The sequence below is a fragment of the Homo sapiens genome, chromosome 19, assembly GCF_000001405.40.
Source record: "Homo sapiens chromosome 19, GRCh38.p14 Primary Assembly".
NCBI classification, from domain to species: Eukaryota; Metazoa; Chordata; class Mammalia; order Primates; family Hominidae; genus Homo; species Homo sapiens.
Window position 1 is genome coordinate 10,086,306 of NC_000019.10, and position 17,563 is coordinate 10,103,868.

At 54.3% G+C, this 17,563-nt stretch overlaps 2 protein-coding genes across 12 annotated transcripts in view, besides 6 other annotated features; one reads left to right on the forward strand and one right to left on the reverse strand.

Annotated features, from left to right (window-relative positions):
* Positions 1 to 280: a silencer, noted in NCBI's record as "silent region_10052". NCBI's record gives its function as "represses an Ori minimal core promoter by ATAC-STARR-seq in GM12878 lymphoblastoid cells {active_cell/tissue: GM12878}" and the evidence as "EXISTENCE:reporter gene assay evidence [ECO:0000049][PMID:35858748]".
* Positions 12 to 6,938, forward strand: SHFL (shiftless antiviral inhibitor of ribosomal frameshifting). 6 transcript variants are annotated; one of them, NM_018381.4, is made up of 8 exons: positions 12 to 143; positions 624 to 747; positions 946 to 995; positions 3,352 to 3,390; positions 3,593 to 3,742; positions 4,945 to 5,048; positions 5,171 to 5,325; positions 5,765 to 6,938. In NM_018381.4, the coding sequence occupies exons 1-8, from the start codon at positions 123 to 125 to the stop codon at positions 5,995 to 5,997; spliced, it is 876 nt and encodes a 291-aa protein (NP_060851.2). In that variant the 5' UTR covers positions 12 to 122; the 3' UTR covers positions 5,998 to 6,938. The 6 variants fall into 6 exon arrangements, with proteins under 6 accessions (NP_060851.2, NP_001295206.1, XP_047295004.1 ...); NM_001308277.2 differs by having other exon boundaries at positions 5,279 to 5,325; XM_047439048.1 differs by lacking the exon at positions 5,765 to 6,938 and adding an exon at positions 2,806 to 3,073 and having other exon boundaries at positions 4,945 to 5,325.
* Positions 6,033 to 17,563, reverse strand: part of ANGPTL6 (angiopoietin like 6) — a 13,853-nt gene continuing 2,322 nt past the window's right edge. For 2 of the 6 annotated variants that reach the window (NM_001387348.1, NM_001387347.1), the window contains exons 2-7: positions 16,263 to 16,351; positions 9,677 to 10,268; positions 8,453 to 8,633; positions 7,388 to 7,575; positions 7,044 to 7,314; positions 6,033 to 6,474 (exon numbers count right to left, since the gene is read on the reverse strand). In NM_001387348.1, the coding sequence (NP_001374277.1) occupies positions 6,284 to 6,474; positions 7,044 to 7,314; positions 7,388 to 7,575; positions 8,453 to 8,633; positions 9,677 to 10,258 (1,413 nt within the window). In that variant the 5' untranslated portion in view covers positions 10,259 to 10,268; positions 16,263 to 16,351 and the 3' untranslated portion in view covers positions 6,033 to 6,283. Of the gene's footprint in view, positions 6,475 to 7,043; positions 7,315 to 7,387; positions 7,576 to 8,452; positions 8,634 to 9,676; positions 10,269 to 16,246; positions 16,374 to 16,701; positions 17,011 to 17,563 lie in introns of those variants that run through there. The other 4 variants (XM_011528349.4, XM_011528348.4, NM_031917.3 and 1 more) reach the window with 4 other exon arrangements.
* Positions 9,761 to 9,900: a silencer, noted in NCBI's record as "silent region_10053". NCBI's record gives its function as "represses an Ori minimal core promoter by ATAC-STARR-seq in GM12878 lymphoblastoid cells {active_cell/tissue: GM12878}" and the evidence as "EXISTENCE:reporter gene assay evidence [ECO:0000049][PMID:35858748]".
* Positions 9,961 to 10,020: a silencer, noted in NCBI's record as "silent region_10054". NCBI's record gives its function as "represses an Ori minimal core promoter by ATAC-STARR-seq in GM12878 lymphoblastoid cells {active_cell/tissue: GM12878}" and the evidence as "EXISTENCE:reporter gene assay evidence [ECO:0000049][PMID:35858748]".
* Positions 12,918 to 12,967: a silencer, noted in NCBI's record as "silent region_10055". NCBI's record gives its function as "represses an Ori minimal core promoter by ATAC-STARR-seq in GM12878 lymphoblastoid cells {active_cell/tissue: GM12878}" and the evidence as "EXISTENCE:reporter gene assay evidence [ECO:0000049][PMID:35858748]".
* Positions 16,383 to 16,432: an enhancer, noted in NCBI's record as "active region_13936". NCBI's record gives its function as "activates an Ori minimal core promoter by ATAC-STARR-seq in GM12878 lymphoblastoid cells {active_cell/tissue: GM12878}" and the evidence as "EXISTENCE:reporter gene assay evidence [ECO:0000049][PMID:35858748]".
* Positions 16,503 to 16,552: an enhancer, noted in NCBI's record as "active region_13937". NCBI's record gives its function as "activates an Ori minimal core promoter by ATAC-STARR-seq in GM12878 lymphoblastoid cells {active_cell/tissue: GM12878}" and the evidence as "EXISTENCE:reporter gene assay evidence [ECO:0000049][PMID:35858748]".

A 17,563-nucleotide genomic window follows, 5' to 3' on the forward strand; every position in this document is an offset into this window, starting at 1 on the left:
GAGCCGGCCCCGAGGCACCGCCCCCTGCCCTGCGCGGCTGCTGGACCGACGGGCGCACCCAGGTAGGGGGGCGGCTGAGCCGCGCAGTGCGGACCCTCGCGGGGAACTGCGCCGCCGCCACCATGTCTCAGGAAGGTGTGGAGGTAAGCGATGGCTACGGCTGGGCCGGGGTCAGCCGCGACAGACCCCGAGGAGCGGCCGGGAGGCGCGGAGGGGGCTTCGCAGTTCCTGGGGACCCCCATCCTAGAACCCCAGATCCTTACCCCTGCCTGGCGCTCGCCCCCCTTGAAAAGGAAAGTGACTCCCACGTTTCCCCAGAGCGAAATGAGGCCTCCCCGAGGAAAAGCGGGGGCTGCAGGGTCAAAGGTCAGAGGCCAGAGATAACCTGGCCGCCCCCCCACACCTTAGGCTGGGACGCTCGCCCCAGTCCGCGCCTTCCCCCAACGCCCTGTGGGGACTTTGGCTTTTTCCAGGAAATGCCGTAAAGGGATGAAAGGCGGGGGGGGGGCGGCGGAGGCCAAAACCAAGGGTCAAGTTCGGGCCGGGAGAACGGTGCCTAGAGATGGGGGAGGGATGATCCCGTTTCCCCTTCCCCCACCGGAACCCCCCTGTCTCCATCCCAGCTGGAGAAGAGCGTCCGGCGCCTCCGGGAGAAGTTTCATGGGAAGGTATCCTCCAAGAAGGCGGGGGCTCTGATGAGGAAATTCGGCAGCGACCACACGGGAGTGGGGCGCTCCATCGTGTACGGTGAGGCTGCAGGGGTCCCGGGCCTGGTGCGGGGACCGCGCGTGGGAGCGCCGAGGGGGCGTGGTCTAGGGAGAGGCGTTGAGATCACCTCCCCCGGAGGTCCCAGCCTTGGGGAGGCTCTGCGTCGCGGCTCTGGGTGGCCTGGAACTCCCACAGACCCTTCAAGGGCCCTTCCCTTATATGCACTCTCCCCCGCAGGGGTAAAGCAAAAAGATGGCCAAGAACTAAGTAACGATCTGGATGCCCAGGTAACCTATCCCCTCCCCTCGCAAAGGACCGGGTCACGGGAGGGAGAGCAAGAGGGGGGACCCGACCCGTTCATGGTGACTGACCCCCCTCTGAAACAGGAGGGACCAGGCATTGTCGGTCCATAACTCATCACCCAATCTCACTTTTTCACCTCTCCATCATTTGTCCGGCCAGGGAGCCTGCAAACAGTAGGCGCTCATTATGTGCTGATTGTATTCAATGGGGGAGAGAGCCATGAAACTAAGCAATGAAAGGAGCCAGGATTATTGCCATCATAGCGGGGGCGCAGAGGTCAGAGAAGGCTTACTGGAGGAGGAGGTACCAAGTCTTAAAGGATGGGGAGGAGTGAGCCCTGGGAGGGGAAAGGGAAAGAAAGGCAGGGGTCTTGGGGTGGGGGAGGGAATGGCATAAGCAAAGGCTGGGAGGTGGGGAAGGGTTGTTAGTGGCAGTCTCTAGAAAGGCTAGGATGAGCAGAGGATTGGGGAGGAGAGAGAGGCAGGGGAATGGAACCCTTGTGTTGAATGAATGAATGAATGAATGAATGAATGAATGAATGAATGGCTTTGAAGCACAGGTGCATCATGGCTACTTTGCTTCTTTGACAGCTTTGGTGATGGGAACGCTGTGGATTTAGCCTGCCTGAAAGGCTTAGTGTAGGGCTGTTAAAGAGTATAATAGGCCAGGCGCGGTGGCTCACGCCTGCAATCCCAACATTTTGGGAGGCCGAGGCGGGCGGATCACCTGAGGTCGGGAGTTTGAGACCAGCCTGACCAACATGGAGAAACCCGTCTCTACTAAAAAATACAAAATTAGCTGGGCATGGTGGCGCATGCCTGTAATCCCAGCTACTCGGGAGGCTGAGGCAGGAGAATCACTTGAACCCAGGAGGCGGAGGTTGCAGTGAGCTGAGATCACACCATTGCACTCCAGCCTGGGCAACAAGAGCGAAACTCTGTCTCAAAAAAAAAAAAAAAAAAAAAATGCCGGGCGCGGTGGCTCACGCCTGTAATCCCAGCACTTTGGGAGGCCAAGGCGGGCGGATCATGAGGTCAGGAGATCGAGACCATCCTGGCTAACATGGTGAAACCCCATCTATACTAAAAATACGAAAAAAAAAATTAGCCAGTTGTGCTGGCAGGCCCCTGTAGTCCCAGCTACTCAGGAGGCTGAGGCAGGAGAATGGCGTGAACCCGGGAGGCGGAGCTTGCAGTGAGCCGAGATCGCACCACTGCACTCCAGCCTGGGCAACAGAGCGATTCTCCGTCTCAAACAAACAAAAACAAACAAAACCAGAGTATAACAAAACATGTATCATAGTCTACATTTATACATATAAAAGTATGATAAAAATGATAGCAGAGGGGCCAGGTGTGGTGGCTCACGCCTGTAATTCCAGCACTTTGGGAGGTTGAGGCGGGCAGATCACTTGAGGTCAGGAGTTCGAGATTAGCCTGGCCAACACGGTGAAACCCCTTCTCTATTAAAAATACAAAAAATTAGCTGGGCGTGGCAGTGCATGCTTGTAATCCCAGCTACTTGGCAGGCTAAGGCAGAAGAATCACTTGAACCTGGGAGGCAGAGGTTGCAGTCAGCCAAGATTGTGCCATTGCACTCTAGCCTGGGAGACAAGAGCGAAACTCCGTCTCAAAAATATAATAATAATAATAATAATAATAATAATAATAATAATATTAGCAGAGAGTAGCATTCATTGAGTACTTCCCACATGGCAAGATTCCAGGAATTTATTTATTTCATCACTGCAGTGACCCCAGGAGACAGGTCCTATTATTTATCCCCATTTCACAGACAAAGAAACTGAGGCCGAAGTCACTTGCCAGCAAGCAGGGGCAGCTGCGATTTGAACCCTGGCCACCTGGAGTCAGAGCCTGGGCTCTAACATGCCTGTCAGTGGGAACCCAGGGGGCAGGGAGTGGCTTGCCCAAGTCCCCACAGCTGGAAGTGATACAGCTGGGATTTGAACCCACATCTCTCTCCCACTTAGCCGAGCACAACGTGGCCTCAAAGGGGCGATATGTCACAACATCAACAAGCATGTGGCATTTGCAGGCAGGAAGTGAGTATGGGGGTCAGGCTAGCCTCACTCAGGCAAGCCCTCCCCTAAGCCTCAGTTTCCCCATCTGAGCAATAAGGTAACAGGTGTGCCCACCTCTCAGGGCTGCTATGAGGACAACTGAGGCCACACACCTGGCTCTCAATAAGTGAGTGGTGCTCTGTGAGCTTCTGGCGAGTTAGGGGCACCCTACTCATTGCGGCCGGGGGCCTCCCCCAGCAAACGGGTGGAAAGAGGCCTGAGCCCCATCCCCAGTTTCTGCCCCTGCTATCTCCACCCAGGATCCACCAGAAGATATGAAGCAGGACCGGGACATTCAGGTGAGTTGGTGGCTAGGGCTTGGGATGGGGGAGTTGGGAGGGGGACATCTGCAGGCACAGAAGGATGTCCATTAGGGCAGGAGGGGAGATATTCACTGGGGCAGGAAGAGGACTCGTCTGTAGGGAGAGGAGGGCTGATGCTTATGTTGGTGCAGAAGGGGTGACACCCCCCCACCTCATCCCCACCTGCCCCATTCCACAGGCAGTGGCGACCTCCCTCCTGCCACTGACAGAAGCCAACCTACGCATGTTTCAACGTGCCCAGGACGACCTTATCCCTGCTGTGGACCGGCAGTTTGCCTGCTCCTCCTGCGACCACGTCTGGTGGCGCCGCGTGCCCCAGCGGAAGGAGGTGATGACCTAAAACTTAACCTCGACTTTGACTGTCCCGAACTCCACTCCTGACTCCTATCCTCAGTGACTGTACCTCTGACCTAAGGATTTCAATCACTGAGAGTCCAATCCCTGACCTCCAAACTCAGAGCTCAGCCTTGATCTCTGATCCCAACCCCTGACCCAGGACTGGACTTCTGACCTTAAATGTGAGAAGCCCAATACCTCCTTACCCCAGAACCTGACCCTTGACCCACAATTGAACAGCTACTACAGAAATCAAACCTGGCCAGGCGCAGTGGCTCATGGCTGCAATCTCAGTGTTTTGGGAGGCTAAGTAGGGAGGATCGCTTGAATTTAGGAGTTTGAGACCAGCCTGGGTGACAGGGTGAGACCCTGTCTCCAAAAAAAAATGTGTTTTGAAGACAGGGGGTCTCGCCCTGTCACCCAGGCTGGAGTGCAGTGGCGGGATCATAGCTCACTGCAGCCTCCACCTCCTGGCCTCAGGTGATCCTCCCACCTCAACCTCCCAAGCAGCTGGGACTACAGGCCTGCGCCACCACACTTGGCTAATTTTTGTATTTTGTGTGTGTGTGTGGAGATGGGGTTTTGCCATGTTGCCCAAGCTGGTCTCAAACTCCTGGGCTCAAGCAATCTACCACCTCAGCCTCCCAAAGTGCTGGGATTACAGGCATGAGCCACTGTGCCTGGCAAAAAAAAATTTTTTTAATTAGCTGGGAGTGGTGGTGTGTGCCTGTGGTCCCAACTACTCAGGAGGCTGAGGTGGGAGGATCGTTTGAGCCTGGGAGGTCGAGGCTGCAGTAAGCCATGATCACAACACTGCATTCCAGCCTGGGTGACAGAGCAAGACTCTGTCTCTAAAAAAAAAAAGAAAGAAAGAAAAGAAACCAAATCTGACCTCAAAAACACAGCCCCAAATCTGGCTTCTGAACCTCCTGACTAGTAGTTCACTTCTGGTCAATGCTTAACTAGTTCTTGCAAAAGAGGCAGGAAGCCAAGATGTGTAGTGTTTGCCAATTTCTGTGGTGTAAATATTCCCACCATGGTCAATATCAGGCTACCCACGTGAAGTCACTGATTGAGTTGGGTTGCTCAAGCTGAGGCCAGCCGCTGCAGCACACTGCTAGCCCTGACCCCAACCTCAGACACCTCTGACAATCCTTGGTCCCCTCTCTGTACCTTCCTGCCCACCACCACCAGGTATCCCGGTGCCGGAAATGCCGGAAGCGCTACGAGCCAGTGCCAGCTGACAAGATGTGGGGCCTGGCTGAGTTCCACTGCCCGAAGTGTCGGCACAACTTCCGGTGAGGGCGCTGACCCCCAGCTCCCCCTCAGCCCTGCCCTACCCCAGCCCTGCCCCTCCCTGCCCTGGCCCCACCCTGGCCCAGCCTCGCCCTCGGACCCTCACAGCCCTGCCCGCCCCCAGGGGCTGGGCACAGATGGGGTCCCCGTCCCCCTGCTACGGGTGCGGCTTCCCCGTGTATCCAACACGGATCCTCCCCCCGCGCTGGGACCGGGACCCGGATCGCCGCAGCACCCACACTCACTCCTGCTCAGCTGCCGACTGCTACAACCGGCGAGGTGAGGCTCTTCTCCCCCAACAGCCTGGACAGTCTTTGTCCCCTTCTGTGCCTTTAAGTCCCCAAATCTCCACTCAGTCCACTTTGTCTCCCACAGCAGCAGCCACTGCTTCCACATGGCCTCCATGACCCCCCAGTCTCCGTGGTCTTGCCCAGGAGGCTCTGAGGTTTCACCCCAGTGGCCCGTGCCTGAGGGTCCCCATGGCCTCTGCCCCCATGGTCTCTGGGTTTGGGGCCCCTGTTTTGTCCCCTGTAATCTCAGGTGACCCCCATGTCCCCAGGTCTCCTGTATCTTCAACACCCCTGAATGTCCAGTTGTGCTGGTCCCCGTATCTGGTGGTCTCAGCTCCTCCCTAGAGCCCCGCGTGGCCTAAGTCCCCTCCTCCCCAGACTCTCATGGGACCTCCAGCCCCATGTCTGCAGCACCTCTCCCTCCCTAGAGCCCCACGTGCCTGGGACATCCTGTGCTCACCCCAAGAGCCGGAAGCAGAACCACCTGCCCAAAGTGCTCCACCCCAGCAACCCTCACATTAGCAGTGGCTCCACTGTGGCCACCTGCTTGAGCCAGGGTGGCCTCCTGGAAGACCTGGACAACCTCATCCTGGAGGACCTGAAGGAGGAGGAGGAGGAAGAGGAGGAGGTGGAGGACGAGGAGGGCGGGCCCAGGGAGTGACCCCTGCCAGGTGCAGATACAAACCAGACACGGTCTGTGGCTACTTTGTGTTATTATAAGATATGAGCTCAAACCGAGATATGAATGACCTTGGGGAGCCATCTGAGGCCAAGATATTGACGGGGGGGATTCCTGGGTCCCATTTTCAGCGCCCAGGGTCACAGATCCACAGTGGGAAGTTCTGTGGGACACATTGGCACTGAGCCACAAAGAAGGTGTGGCCAGAACAACTTGGGCTCCTGCTGACCAATGTCCTCTAGGGCCTAGGGGACAGAGGAACACAGAGTCACAGCTTCAGGGGCCGAATGAGCATGGCGGCCTTCCTGAGAGAATATGCCCCACCACGAAACTCAGCCCAGTAGACACCATCCTGGTAGCGGCTTCGGTAGTGGCCGCCGTGGTGCCACACACCGTTGAGGTTGGAGTGGGCACAGGCATGGTACCACCAGCCTCCCCGCTGGTACAGGGCACAGTTACCTGAGGGGAGAGAGAGAGTCCATGTCCTCTCACCAGAATAAAAGCCTCTACCTGCACCTCACAGTGCAAGGCTTTTGCCAGGCATCCCCTGGCCCCTCCCATTCTTATTGAATACAAGCCCTGATCTTCCATCTCCTCAGCAAAAAAATAGGAGCCCTGGCCCCCCAACTTTCTTCAGAGTAATAGCCTTAATTCCTTCCCTATCTCCTTACCAAAGTACAAGTCACATCTTTCCCACCTTTTCTGCAAACTAGGAGTCTACCGTTCATTCCTTTATCAAAGAAAAGTATCTACTTCCTTTCTAGAATAAGAGTACTAGCTCTCACCCTCTGCCCTTTACTTGAACAGGAGTCTTGATTCTTTTTTTGCCTCATCAGAGAAGGAATCTGGACTCCCCATCCCCCCACCAGGATAAAAGTCCTGACCTTTGTTCTCTTGACGGAATAAAAGCTTGCTTATCCTTATACTTACCAGAGGGGCGTCTTACCTACCCTACCTCCTTTCATTCCCTCACCAGAACAGGAGTCCCGCCTCCCCTATCCTCTCACCAGAATAGGAGTTCTCCTTACCAGAATAGGAGTCTCGGTCCCTATCCACGGTGCTGAAGGGCTTGTCATTGTGCCAGGAAAGAGAGTCTCCAGCATCACCATGGTACTGGCCAAGCCGCAGGCGGTAGTGGTCGCTCTCGGGTTCCAGGGAGAAGCCATCATAGTGGGCACGTGCTCCACGGCCCCCCCAGTCCTCCAGGAGAACCAGCAGCTCATGGTCCCCACGGCTGGTCAGCTGATACACGGGTTCAAGGCCCAGCCAGTATTCTCCGTCTGGCCGCCCAAAGCCCGCCTGGCAGGGCAGGAAAGTCAGGAAGCCAGAACAGGCTCCCTCCCCTTCCCTGCCTCTGCCCACCTGTGCCCACCTTATAGTGCTGCCAGGTAGTGAAGAAGTTGACTGAACCATCTTGCCTCCGCTGGATCACAGTCCAGCCTCCACCCTCCAGTTGCTGCTCACACCATACTGACACTACGTGACGGCCCACTCGCAGTTCATACACTCCACTCTGTTCATGGCCTGCCTGGCGGGCCTCTGCACAATCCTGCCACGGGCCTGTGGGCACAGGGATAGGGGGGAGGCACAGCCTGGGCTGACCAATCCCTTACTGGAGCAAGAGTCAAGATTCTCACAGGTCCTCTCACCAGAATAAGAGTTCTGCCTCTCCCACTTTTCTACCAAAGAGTCCTGCCTCTCCCATTTCCTCACCAGAATAAGAGGCCTGCCTCTCCCATTTCCTCACCAGAATCCGAGCTCCAATAGCCATTTCTTTACCTAAGAATCTGGGTCCCTTGTCTCTAATCAAAGGAAATGTCAAGTCTGGGGTTCTTTTTTTTTTTGAGATGGAGTCTCGCTCTGTCACTCAGGCTGGAGTGCAGTGGTGCGATCTCGGCTCACTGCAACCTCATCCTCCCAGGTTCACGCCTTTCTCCTGCCTCAGCCTCCCGAGCAGCTGGGACTACAGGCGCCCGCCACCACGCCCAGCTAATTTTTTGTATTTTTAGTAGAAATGGGGTTTCACCGTGTTAGCCAGGATGGTCTTGATCTCCTGACCTCGTGATCCACCCGCCTCGGCCTCCCAAAGTGCTGGGATTACAGGCATGAGCCATCGCGCCCGGCCAACTCTGGGGTTCTTAAACCCTGGTTTTTTATGGTCTCCTCACCATAATATAAGTCCTGAATATGATACTCTGAACCAGTTCAAACTCTTACCAAAGTAGCAGTCCCAAACATCGCCTCACTAAAGTAAGAGTCCCTCCTCTTCTATTTCTTGTTTCTCCTATTTTCACACCTTAGAAGTTTGGTCTTATTTTTAATCAGAATAGGAGTATCATTTCTTCTGGTCTTCTCACAATGAGAGAAATCTGCCACTAAAATCCTGACTCCTCAATTTTCCTCTACCCACAATTCCTCAGCCCTAATGTCGACTTACCCACAGGCTTGGTGGGGACCGCAGGGTGACCTGCAGGCATGGGAGAAGCCATGGGCTCCTGCTGTCTCTGGGTCTGGTCTCTCTGGGGCTCTGGGGCTGGGTCCAGCATCCTACTGGTGTCACTGGTGCTACCCACAAGACGGACCGGAACCACAGGCACCAGTGGGGGTGGCGGCAGGACCTGGGGTGACGGAGAAAGTCAGGTGTAATTGCACTAACCCTCAGGCCAGGAGGCCTGGTCTCAGGGGCAGAAATGGTGGATAAATCTCCCAGCTCCCAAATGACCTGGACATCTGGCAGTGGGGGTGTCCCAGCCCTAGGAATGATCCTCCCCAAAAGCTAAACAACTTGGCTTTAAAGTGCAGACAGGCTGGGCGCTATGGCCCGTGCCTGTAATCCCAGCACTTTGGGAGGCCGAGGCGGGCGGATCACCTGAGGTCAGGAGTTCGAGACCAGCCTGACCAACATGGTGAAACCTCCGTCTCTACTAAAAATACAAAAAAAATTAACTGAGTGTGTTGGCTCACGCCTGTAATGCCAGCTACTCGGAAGGTTGAGGTAGGAGGATCGCTTGAACCTGGGAGGTGGAGGTTGCAGTGAGCCAAGATTGCACCACTGCACTCCAGCCTGGGAGACAGAGCGAGACTCCATCTCAAAAATAAAATTAAAAAAATAAAGTGCAGACAGAGCTGGGCTTAAATACCGGCTCTTGGTGCTCATGGTTTAATTGATCTGTGCCCCAGCCTCCTCTGTAGAGTAGGGATAATAACAACACATCCAACAGTATCTAACTTACTGACTCCTCTCACCAACCCTGTAACGTAGGGACTGTCACAGAGCAACATTCTCTTATCCCAAACCCAGACCAGGACACGTTCCAGAATTCAGAATAACACGGCTGGATTTAGACACAGTGACACAGGGAGGGTTATGTATATGCATGTGTGTATAGAATATACATAACACTCCTAAAGGGGTTTTTGGTCTTTACGTGATAATGATATGTTTAATTATAGGATCCTATGACTATTCACATTAAGTGGTTAAGTGAAGGCTATAAATAGCCACCAGTCACTTTTTGACCCAAATAAGTTACCAGAAGGGGCGAGTAGGAATCCGGTTTTCAGGGTTTTGCGGATTTCAGAACTGTGGATAAGAGATCGTGGGGTTGCAAAACCCCCATTTCACAGACGATGCTGCTCTCCGGGGAGGCTGCGAGGTTACCTGCTGCTGCCCGCCCGCGCCTCCCGGGCACAGGCGCTCCAGGCGGGCGATGAGACTGCTCTGCTGGGTGACGAGCTGCGCCAGCTCGCGGAACTTGACGTCCAGCTGGTGGAACCGGGCGGCTGCGCGCTGAGCCTCGGCGGACGCGTTGAGCACGCGCTCCCCGAGCAGCGCCAGCGCCGCGGCAGGCTCCGCCCCCAGATCCGCCCCCGGGCCCGCCCCGGGCCCCGCCTCGTGCTGCAGCTGCGCGCGCAACTGGCCCAGGCGCGCGCTCAGGCCGCGGCTCTCCTTGCGCAGCGCGCGCACCTCGCCGGCCACGGCGCCGTCGGCCGCCGCCAGCCTCTGCAGCTCGCGTAACAGCTCCTCGTGGCGGCCGACGCGCATGCGCAGCGCCGCCAGCTCGCTGGCGTTGGCGGCCTCGGGCGTCGCCCGCGTGGATGCGGGGCCGCTCCAGCACACAGCGCCCGTGAACTTCTGCGGGGGCAGCACGAAGGTGTAGGTGCAGCGCGGGGCGCCCGCCCGCGCCCACGACGCGCCCAGCAGGAGCAGCAGCTGTAGCGCACGCAGCCAGGGCTTCCCCATCGCGGCGGACCTGCAGGCAGAGGAGGAACGGAAGGAAGACGGGGTGCTGGGGCCCAGCGAGACCCCTCCGCTTCCACGCGGGGATGCGCGCGTCTACACCCGCGATGTCCCGGGCCCATAATTTCAGTCCCCATCTCATTCCCCCCACGGCTGGAGGGCCCCAGGGTGATCCCACTCTGGCTTCAACACCGAGCTCTTGGCGCCAGGCCGGATAACGCATCTCAAGCATTCATTCATTCGACAAGCGAGGCCGGGCGCCGTAGCTCACGCCTGCAAGCTCAGCACTTTGGGAGGCCGAGGCGAGAGGATCGCTTGAGACCAGGAGTTCGAGACCAGCCTGGGCAACATGGGGAGACCCCTGTCTCTACAAAAAAAAAAAAAAAAAATTAGACAGACGTGGTGGTGCACACCTCTGGTCCCAGCTATTCGGGAGGCTGAGGCAGGAGGATCACTTGAGCCCAGGAGTTCAAGGCTTCAGTGAGCCATGATCGCTCCCCTGCACTCCAGCCCGGGCAACAAAGTGATAGCCCATCTCAAAAATAAATAAATAAATAAAAACAAGGCTTATGGGGCCGTTCAGGCCGGTAATTCCAGCACTTTGGGAGGCCGAGGTGGGCTGATCACTTGAGCCTAGGAGTTGGAGACCAGCCTAGACAACACAGAGAGACCCTGTCTATACAAAAAATACAAAAATTAGCTGGGCATGGTGGCAAGGGCTTGTCATCCCAAGATCGCCTGAGCCCAGCAGTTCCAGGCTGCAGTGAGCTGCGATCACGCCACTGCACTCAAGCCTGGGCGACAGAGCAAGACTCTGTCTCAAAAGAAAAAAAAAAAAAAGCAGTCACTAGGCACAAATGTGTGCCAGCCCCCTTTCTAGGCACTGGGAATACATTTAGGAACAAAACAGACAAAAATCCCTCCCCTAGTGGGCAAAAAAATAAATATGTACTGTATAGGATGAATAAATAGAGCATATTAGACAATGTTAAATGCTAAAAATAACAGTAGGGCCAGGCGCGGTGGCTCACTCCTGTAATCCCAGCACTTTGGGAGGCTGAGGCAGGTGGATCACGAGGTCAAGAGATCGAGACCATCCTGGCTAACACGGTGAAACCCCATCTCTACTAAAAATACAAAAAGTTAGCTGGGCGTGGTGGCGGGCACTTGTAGTCCCAGCTACTTGGGAGGCTGAGGCAGGAGAATGGCGTGAACCTGGGAGGCAGAGCTTGCGGTGAGCCGAGATTGTGCCACTGCAGCCCAGCCTGGGTGACTGAGCGAGACTCCATCTCAAAAAAATAAAATAAAATAAAATAATAAATATAAAAATAACAGTAGGACTGGTGAGGCGGCTCAGGCCTGTGTTAAGGCGGGAAGACTGCTTGAGGCCAGGAATTCAAGACCAGACTCCAGACTGGGCAACGTATCCAGACCCTGTCTCTACCAAAAAAAAAAAAAAAAAAAGGAACTGCAAGTGCACAGAACCACATCTGGCTAATGTTTAAATTTTCTGTATAGTCAGGGTCTTGCTATGTTGCCTAGGCTGGTCTCCCCTGGCCTCAAGTGATCCACCTCTGCCTCCCAAAATGCTGAGATTACAGGTGTGACCCACCATGCCCTGCTAATTTTTAAACTATTTTGTAAATCTGGGCTCAGTGGCTCACACCTGTAATCCCAGCTCTTTGGGAGGCAGAGGCGGGAGGATCGATTGAGGCCAGGAGTTTGAAGCTGCAGTGAGCTATGATCGCAGCATTGCACTCCAGCCTGGGGACGAGAGCAAACCCTGTCTCTTAAAACAAAACAATAACAAAAAACAGCAAACTAGGTAAAGAATACGCAGGTCTGTGCAGGGGCAGCTTGAGAGGGGGTTGCCTAAAGGGAAGGCCTGGTGGAGGAGCAGATCTAAGTGCAAAAGCTCTGAGACTGGACCCTGCCTGATGTATTAAAGCAACCTGGGAGAGGTTAAAGCAAAAGCGAAGGGAGGCTGGGTGCTGTGGCTCATGTCTGTAATCCCAGCAGTTTGGGAGGCCAAGGTGGGTGGATCACCTGAGGTCAGGAATTCGAGACTAGCATGACCAACATAGTGAAACCCCATCTCTACTGAAAGTGCAAAATTAGCCGGGTGTGGTGGTACAGGCCTGAAATCTCAGCTACTTGGGAGGCTGAGGCAGGAGAATCACTTGAACCTGGGAGGTGGAGGTTGCAGTGAGCCGAGATCGCACCACCGCACTCCAGCCTGGACAACAAAAGCAAAACACTGTCTCAAAAAAAAAAAATAGCAAAGGGAGCAGGGTGCAAGGAGGTGAGGTGGGGTGAGGGAAACGTCTCACTAACTGCCTTCCCATCCGTCGGATATTGGAAACCCCATCTTCCACGTCCTCAGACCAAAACCCCAGCAGATCCAACCCATCTCAGCAGATCTAATCCATCAGCCAGACCCGTCTGCTCTTCTGCTTAGATCCTGAATTCCTCCACGTCTCCGCTACTCCCCACTGCCCCCAGACCCTCCCTGAATTCCCAGCTCAAGACACCATCTGGATGACAGCAGCTGCCTCCCTGCTCTCTGGATTTCCATCCTCAACCCCAGGTCTAGTCTCTCTGACAGCAGCCAGAGGGCGCCTGTGAACATCTGAGTCAGTTCACGTCCCTCCCTCCCTCCTCTGCCCTGAATCCTTCTTGGCTCCCACCTCCTTTAGAGGAAAAGCCCAAATCCACCCATGATCCATAAAAAGTTGCGCTATCTTGGTGACTCACGCCTGTAATCCCAGCACTTTGGGAGGCGGAGGCGGGCGGATCACGAGGTCAGGAGATCGAGACCATCCTGGCTAACACAGTGAAACCCCGTCTCTACTGAAAATACAAAAAAAGTAGCCAGGCGTGGTGGCGGCTGCCTGTAGTCCCAGCTACTCGGGAGGCTGAGGCAGGAGAATGGCTTGAACCCGGGAGGCAGAGCTTGCAGTGAGCCGAGACTGTGCCACTGCACTCTAGCCTGGGCAACAGAGCAAGACTCCATCTCAAAAAAAAAAAAAAAAAAAAAAAAACTTGTGCTATCTGCCATATCCCCTTCTGCCCTCCTCCCAGGCCCTTCCTCACACGAAGCAAGTTCCAGCCTCAGGTCCTTTGTACCTGCTGTTTTTGCAGCCTGGAACATTGTTCACAACTTAACATCATTCCCTTCCTATCCTTATTCAAGTCTCAGCAGCGCTCCTTGAACAGCAGATTTAGGGTTGTACCTCCATATACAAGCTCTCTCTCTCTCTGTCTCTCCCTCTCTCTCTCTCTCTTTCTCTCTTTCTCTCTCTCTCTCTCTCTCTCTCCCCCACGCCCTCTTTTTTTTTTTTTTAGACGGAGTCTCGCTCTGCAATCTCAGCTCACTGCAACCTCCACCTCCCGGGTTCAAGTGATTCTTGTGCCTCAGCCTCCCAAGAAGCTGGGATTACAGGCATGCGCCACCACACCCAGCTAATTTTTGTATTTTTAGTAGAGACAGGGTGCCTGATCAACAGGTGAAATCCCGTCTCTACTAAAAGTACAAAAAATTAGCTGGGCGTGGTGGCGCATGCCTGTAATCCCAGCTACTCGGGAGGCTGAGGCAGAAGAACGGCTTGAACCTGGCAGAGGTTGCAGTGAGCTGAGACCGCACCACTGCCTTCTAGCCTAGGCAACCTGGGTGAGACTCCATCTCAAAAAAAAAGAAAAAAAAGAGAGAGTCGTGCTCTGTTGCCCAGGCTGGAGTGCAGTGGAGCAATCATAGCTCACTGTAGCCTCCAATTCCTGCACACAAGTGGTCCTCCTGCCTCAGCCTCCTGAGTGGTTGGAACTACAGGTGCGCACCACCATGCCCAGCTACTTTTTTGTAGGGAGGGGGTCTCACTGTGTTGCCCAGGCTAGTCTCAAACTCCCAGGCTCAAGTGATCCTCCCACCTTGGACTCCCAAAGTGCTGAAATTACAGATGTGAGCAACCACACTGGCCCTAAACCTATGCTTCCTGATGCCTGCACAAGCACATATCCCGAGGGTCTCCATCTCACACACACATTGCCTCATTCATGCATTCAACCACAGACACCTTGAGTGCCTATTGTGTGCCAGGGATGCTGTTTTAGGCAATGAGGACACAGCCTTAACCCAAACAGACAAAATTCCTGCCCTTGCAGAGCTGACATTCAAGTTGGGAGAACAGAGAAATAAGTCAAACAGCCGCTAGGTAGGTCAGAGGGTAATCGTGCTTAGGAGAAAAATGGAACAGGCAAGGGGGTGACAGTCCCGGAGGTGGGGGACATTTAATAGAGGAGTCAGGACTGGGTGTGCTGACTCACGCCTGTAATCCCAGCACTTTGGGAGGCCGAGGTGCCTGTAATCCCAGCACTTTGGGAGGCCGAGGTGCCTGTAATCCCAGCACTTTGGGAGGCTGAGGTGGGAGGATCACTTGAGGCCAGGAGTTTGAGACCAGCTTGGCTAACGTGGCGAAACCCTGTCTCTACTGAAAATACAAAAATTAGCCAGGCGTAGTGGCACGCGCCTGTAGTCTCAGCTACTCAGGAGGCTGAGACACAAGAATCACTTGAACCCGGAAGGCAGAGGTTGCAGTGAGCCATGATTGCACCACTGCACTCCAGCCTGGGCAATAGAGCGAGACTCTGTCTCAAAAAAAAATAAAATAGAGGAGTCAGGAAAGGCCTCACAGAAGAAGTGACACTTGACTGGAACAGTGCCTCATGCCTGTAATTTCAGCACTTTGGGAGGCCAAGGCAGGAGGATTGCTTGAGCCTAGGAGTTTGAGACCAGCCTGGCCAATATGGTGAAAGTCCATTTCTACTAAATATAAAAATAAAAATAAAATAAAGAATAAGGGACACTTTCACAAAGACCTGATGGAAGAGAGAGAAGAGGAAGAGCATTCCAGGCAGAGAGAACAGCAGGTGCAAAGGCCCGGAGATTGCACCCAAGAAATGGCAGAAAGGGGCCAGGCACGGTGGCTCACGCCTGTAATCCCAGCACTTTGGGAGGCCGAGGCGGGAGGATCACCTGAGGTCGAGAGTTCAAGACCAGCCTGGCCAACATGGTGAAACCCCGTCTCTACTAAAAATACAAAAATTAGCTGGGCATGGTAATGCATGCCTGTAATCCCAGCTACTACTCAGGAGGCTGAGGTGGGAGAGTCACTTGAACTCAGGAGGCCGATGTTGCAGTGAGCAGAGATTGCGCCATTGCACTCCAACCTGGGCGACAGAGCAAGGCTCAAAAAAAAAAAAAAAAAAAAGGCCAGGTGCGGTGGCTCACGCCTGTAATCCCAGCACTTGGGAGGCCAAGGCAGGTGGATCACGGGGTCAGGAGATCGAGACCATCCTGGCTAACACAGTGAAATTCCGTCTCTACTAAAAATACAAAAAAAAAAAAAAAAATTAGCCGGGCATGGTGGCGAGCGCCTGTAGCCCCAGCCACTCCAGAGACTGAGGCAGGAGAATGGCGTGAACCCGGAAGGCGGAGCTTGCAGTGAGCTGAGATCGCGCCACTGCACTCCAGCCTGGGTGACAGAGCGAGACTCTGTCTCAAAAAAAAAAAAAAAAAAAAAAAGAAATGGCAGAAATGTCTATGAGGCCGGAAGAGAGAAGGGGGAAGCAGGAGGAGGTAAGAAGTGTCAGGGCAAAGTGTGAAGGGTCCTGTGGGCCCGGAGGAGGACTTGGGTTTTACTCTGAGTCAGGCAGGAGCCATGGAGGGTTCTGGGCTGGAGATGGCCACATTTACTTCTGGACTCAGACACCAAGCAGGGGCTCACAAGGATCCGGGGGTAGGGTCCTCTCTTTGTCCCCGATCACTGACATGCCCCACCCCCCACAACAGAGATTGAGCAACCCCCCAGAACTGGGACGTGTGTATAACACCCGCTGCCTTTTACACTCTCAGCCTGGGGTGGCGGGGTGGCCTGGGGGCCCCCAAGCCAAGCTGTGGTCGGAGTTTCCCCACAGTGAGAATCAACCTCCACCTACCTTCCCACCCTCTCACCTCTGATGCCCAAGACCCTGAATCCAGCGAAGCTCACAGAACACACAAGAAGTCCAAGGAAGAGCCGAGGGTCCAGTGGGGCCTCTGAGCTAGAGACGGGGAGAGGGCAGTGGGACAGAAGGAGAGAGGAGGCTTGGTAACCACTCCCCAGCCCCCAGAGCCTGGGAGTGGAGCTGGGATGCTGGGCCCAGGAGCCCAAACTATAAATATTTAGCATTTCCCGAATGAGAAATGAGACAGAATTGCCAGACCCCCCTGCCCAGGCCACCAGAGCCTGATAACACAGGTCAGTGTCCTGGACATCCCTCCCTTTCCCCCACACCCTCCACTGCAGAGCCCAGAGCGTGGGAGGCTGCAGGCCCTGGGGCAGCCAGGCGTGATCCCAGCCCCAGACACGCACACACCACACATAGAAAGAGGAACATCACTGGGGACTTACCGTGTGTAGGGCTTGGCTCTAAACTCTCCACACCTTTTACGTATTTGATCCTTACAACCTGAGCTGGATTCTGTATGTACCCTCATTTTACAGCAGGGAAAACTGAGGCTCAGAGAGGGTAAGCAACTTGCCTGCGGTCACACAGCCAAAAAGAGACCAGGATGGGAGCCAGCCAAGGTAGCTTGACTCAGAAACTCACACATGTACACCACAGCTGTCACACACATATGGGCACATAACAGAGTGGACACAAACACACACACACACATTTGCACGCACGCACACATTAACACCCAGCGAAAGTCTGGGTGCAGTGGCTCATGCCTGAAAGCCAGCACTTTGGGAGGCCGGGGCAGGTGGATTACCTGAGGTCAGGAGTTCGAAACCATCCTTGCCAACATGCTAAAACCCCGTCTCTACTAACAATACAAAAATTAGCTGGGCATGGTGGCATGCGCCAGTAATCCCAGCTACGCGGGAGGCTGAGGCAGGAGAATTGCTTGAAGCCAGGAGGTGGAGGTTGCAGTAAGCCGAGATCGAGCAACCGCATGCACTCCAGCCTGGGCGACAAGACTGAAATTCCATCTCAAAAATAAATAAATAAATAAATAAATAAATAATAAATAAATAATAATAAAGTGAGGAATTAATTAATTAAAATAAAAAATAAATATAAAAGACACAGCTGTAAATTTTTAAATTGTGATAGAAACAATATATTCTTAAAGTGAAAACCCTACCTCAGTTACATGTGATTTATGTTTTTTGGATTAATCTGGATTTTATAATTAGAAATAAAAATGTAAGGCTGGGCGCGGTGGCTCACGCCTGTAATCCCAGCACTTTGGGAGGCCAAGGTGGG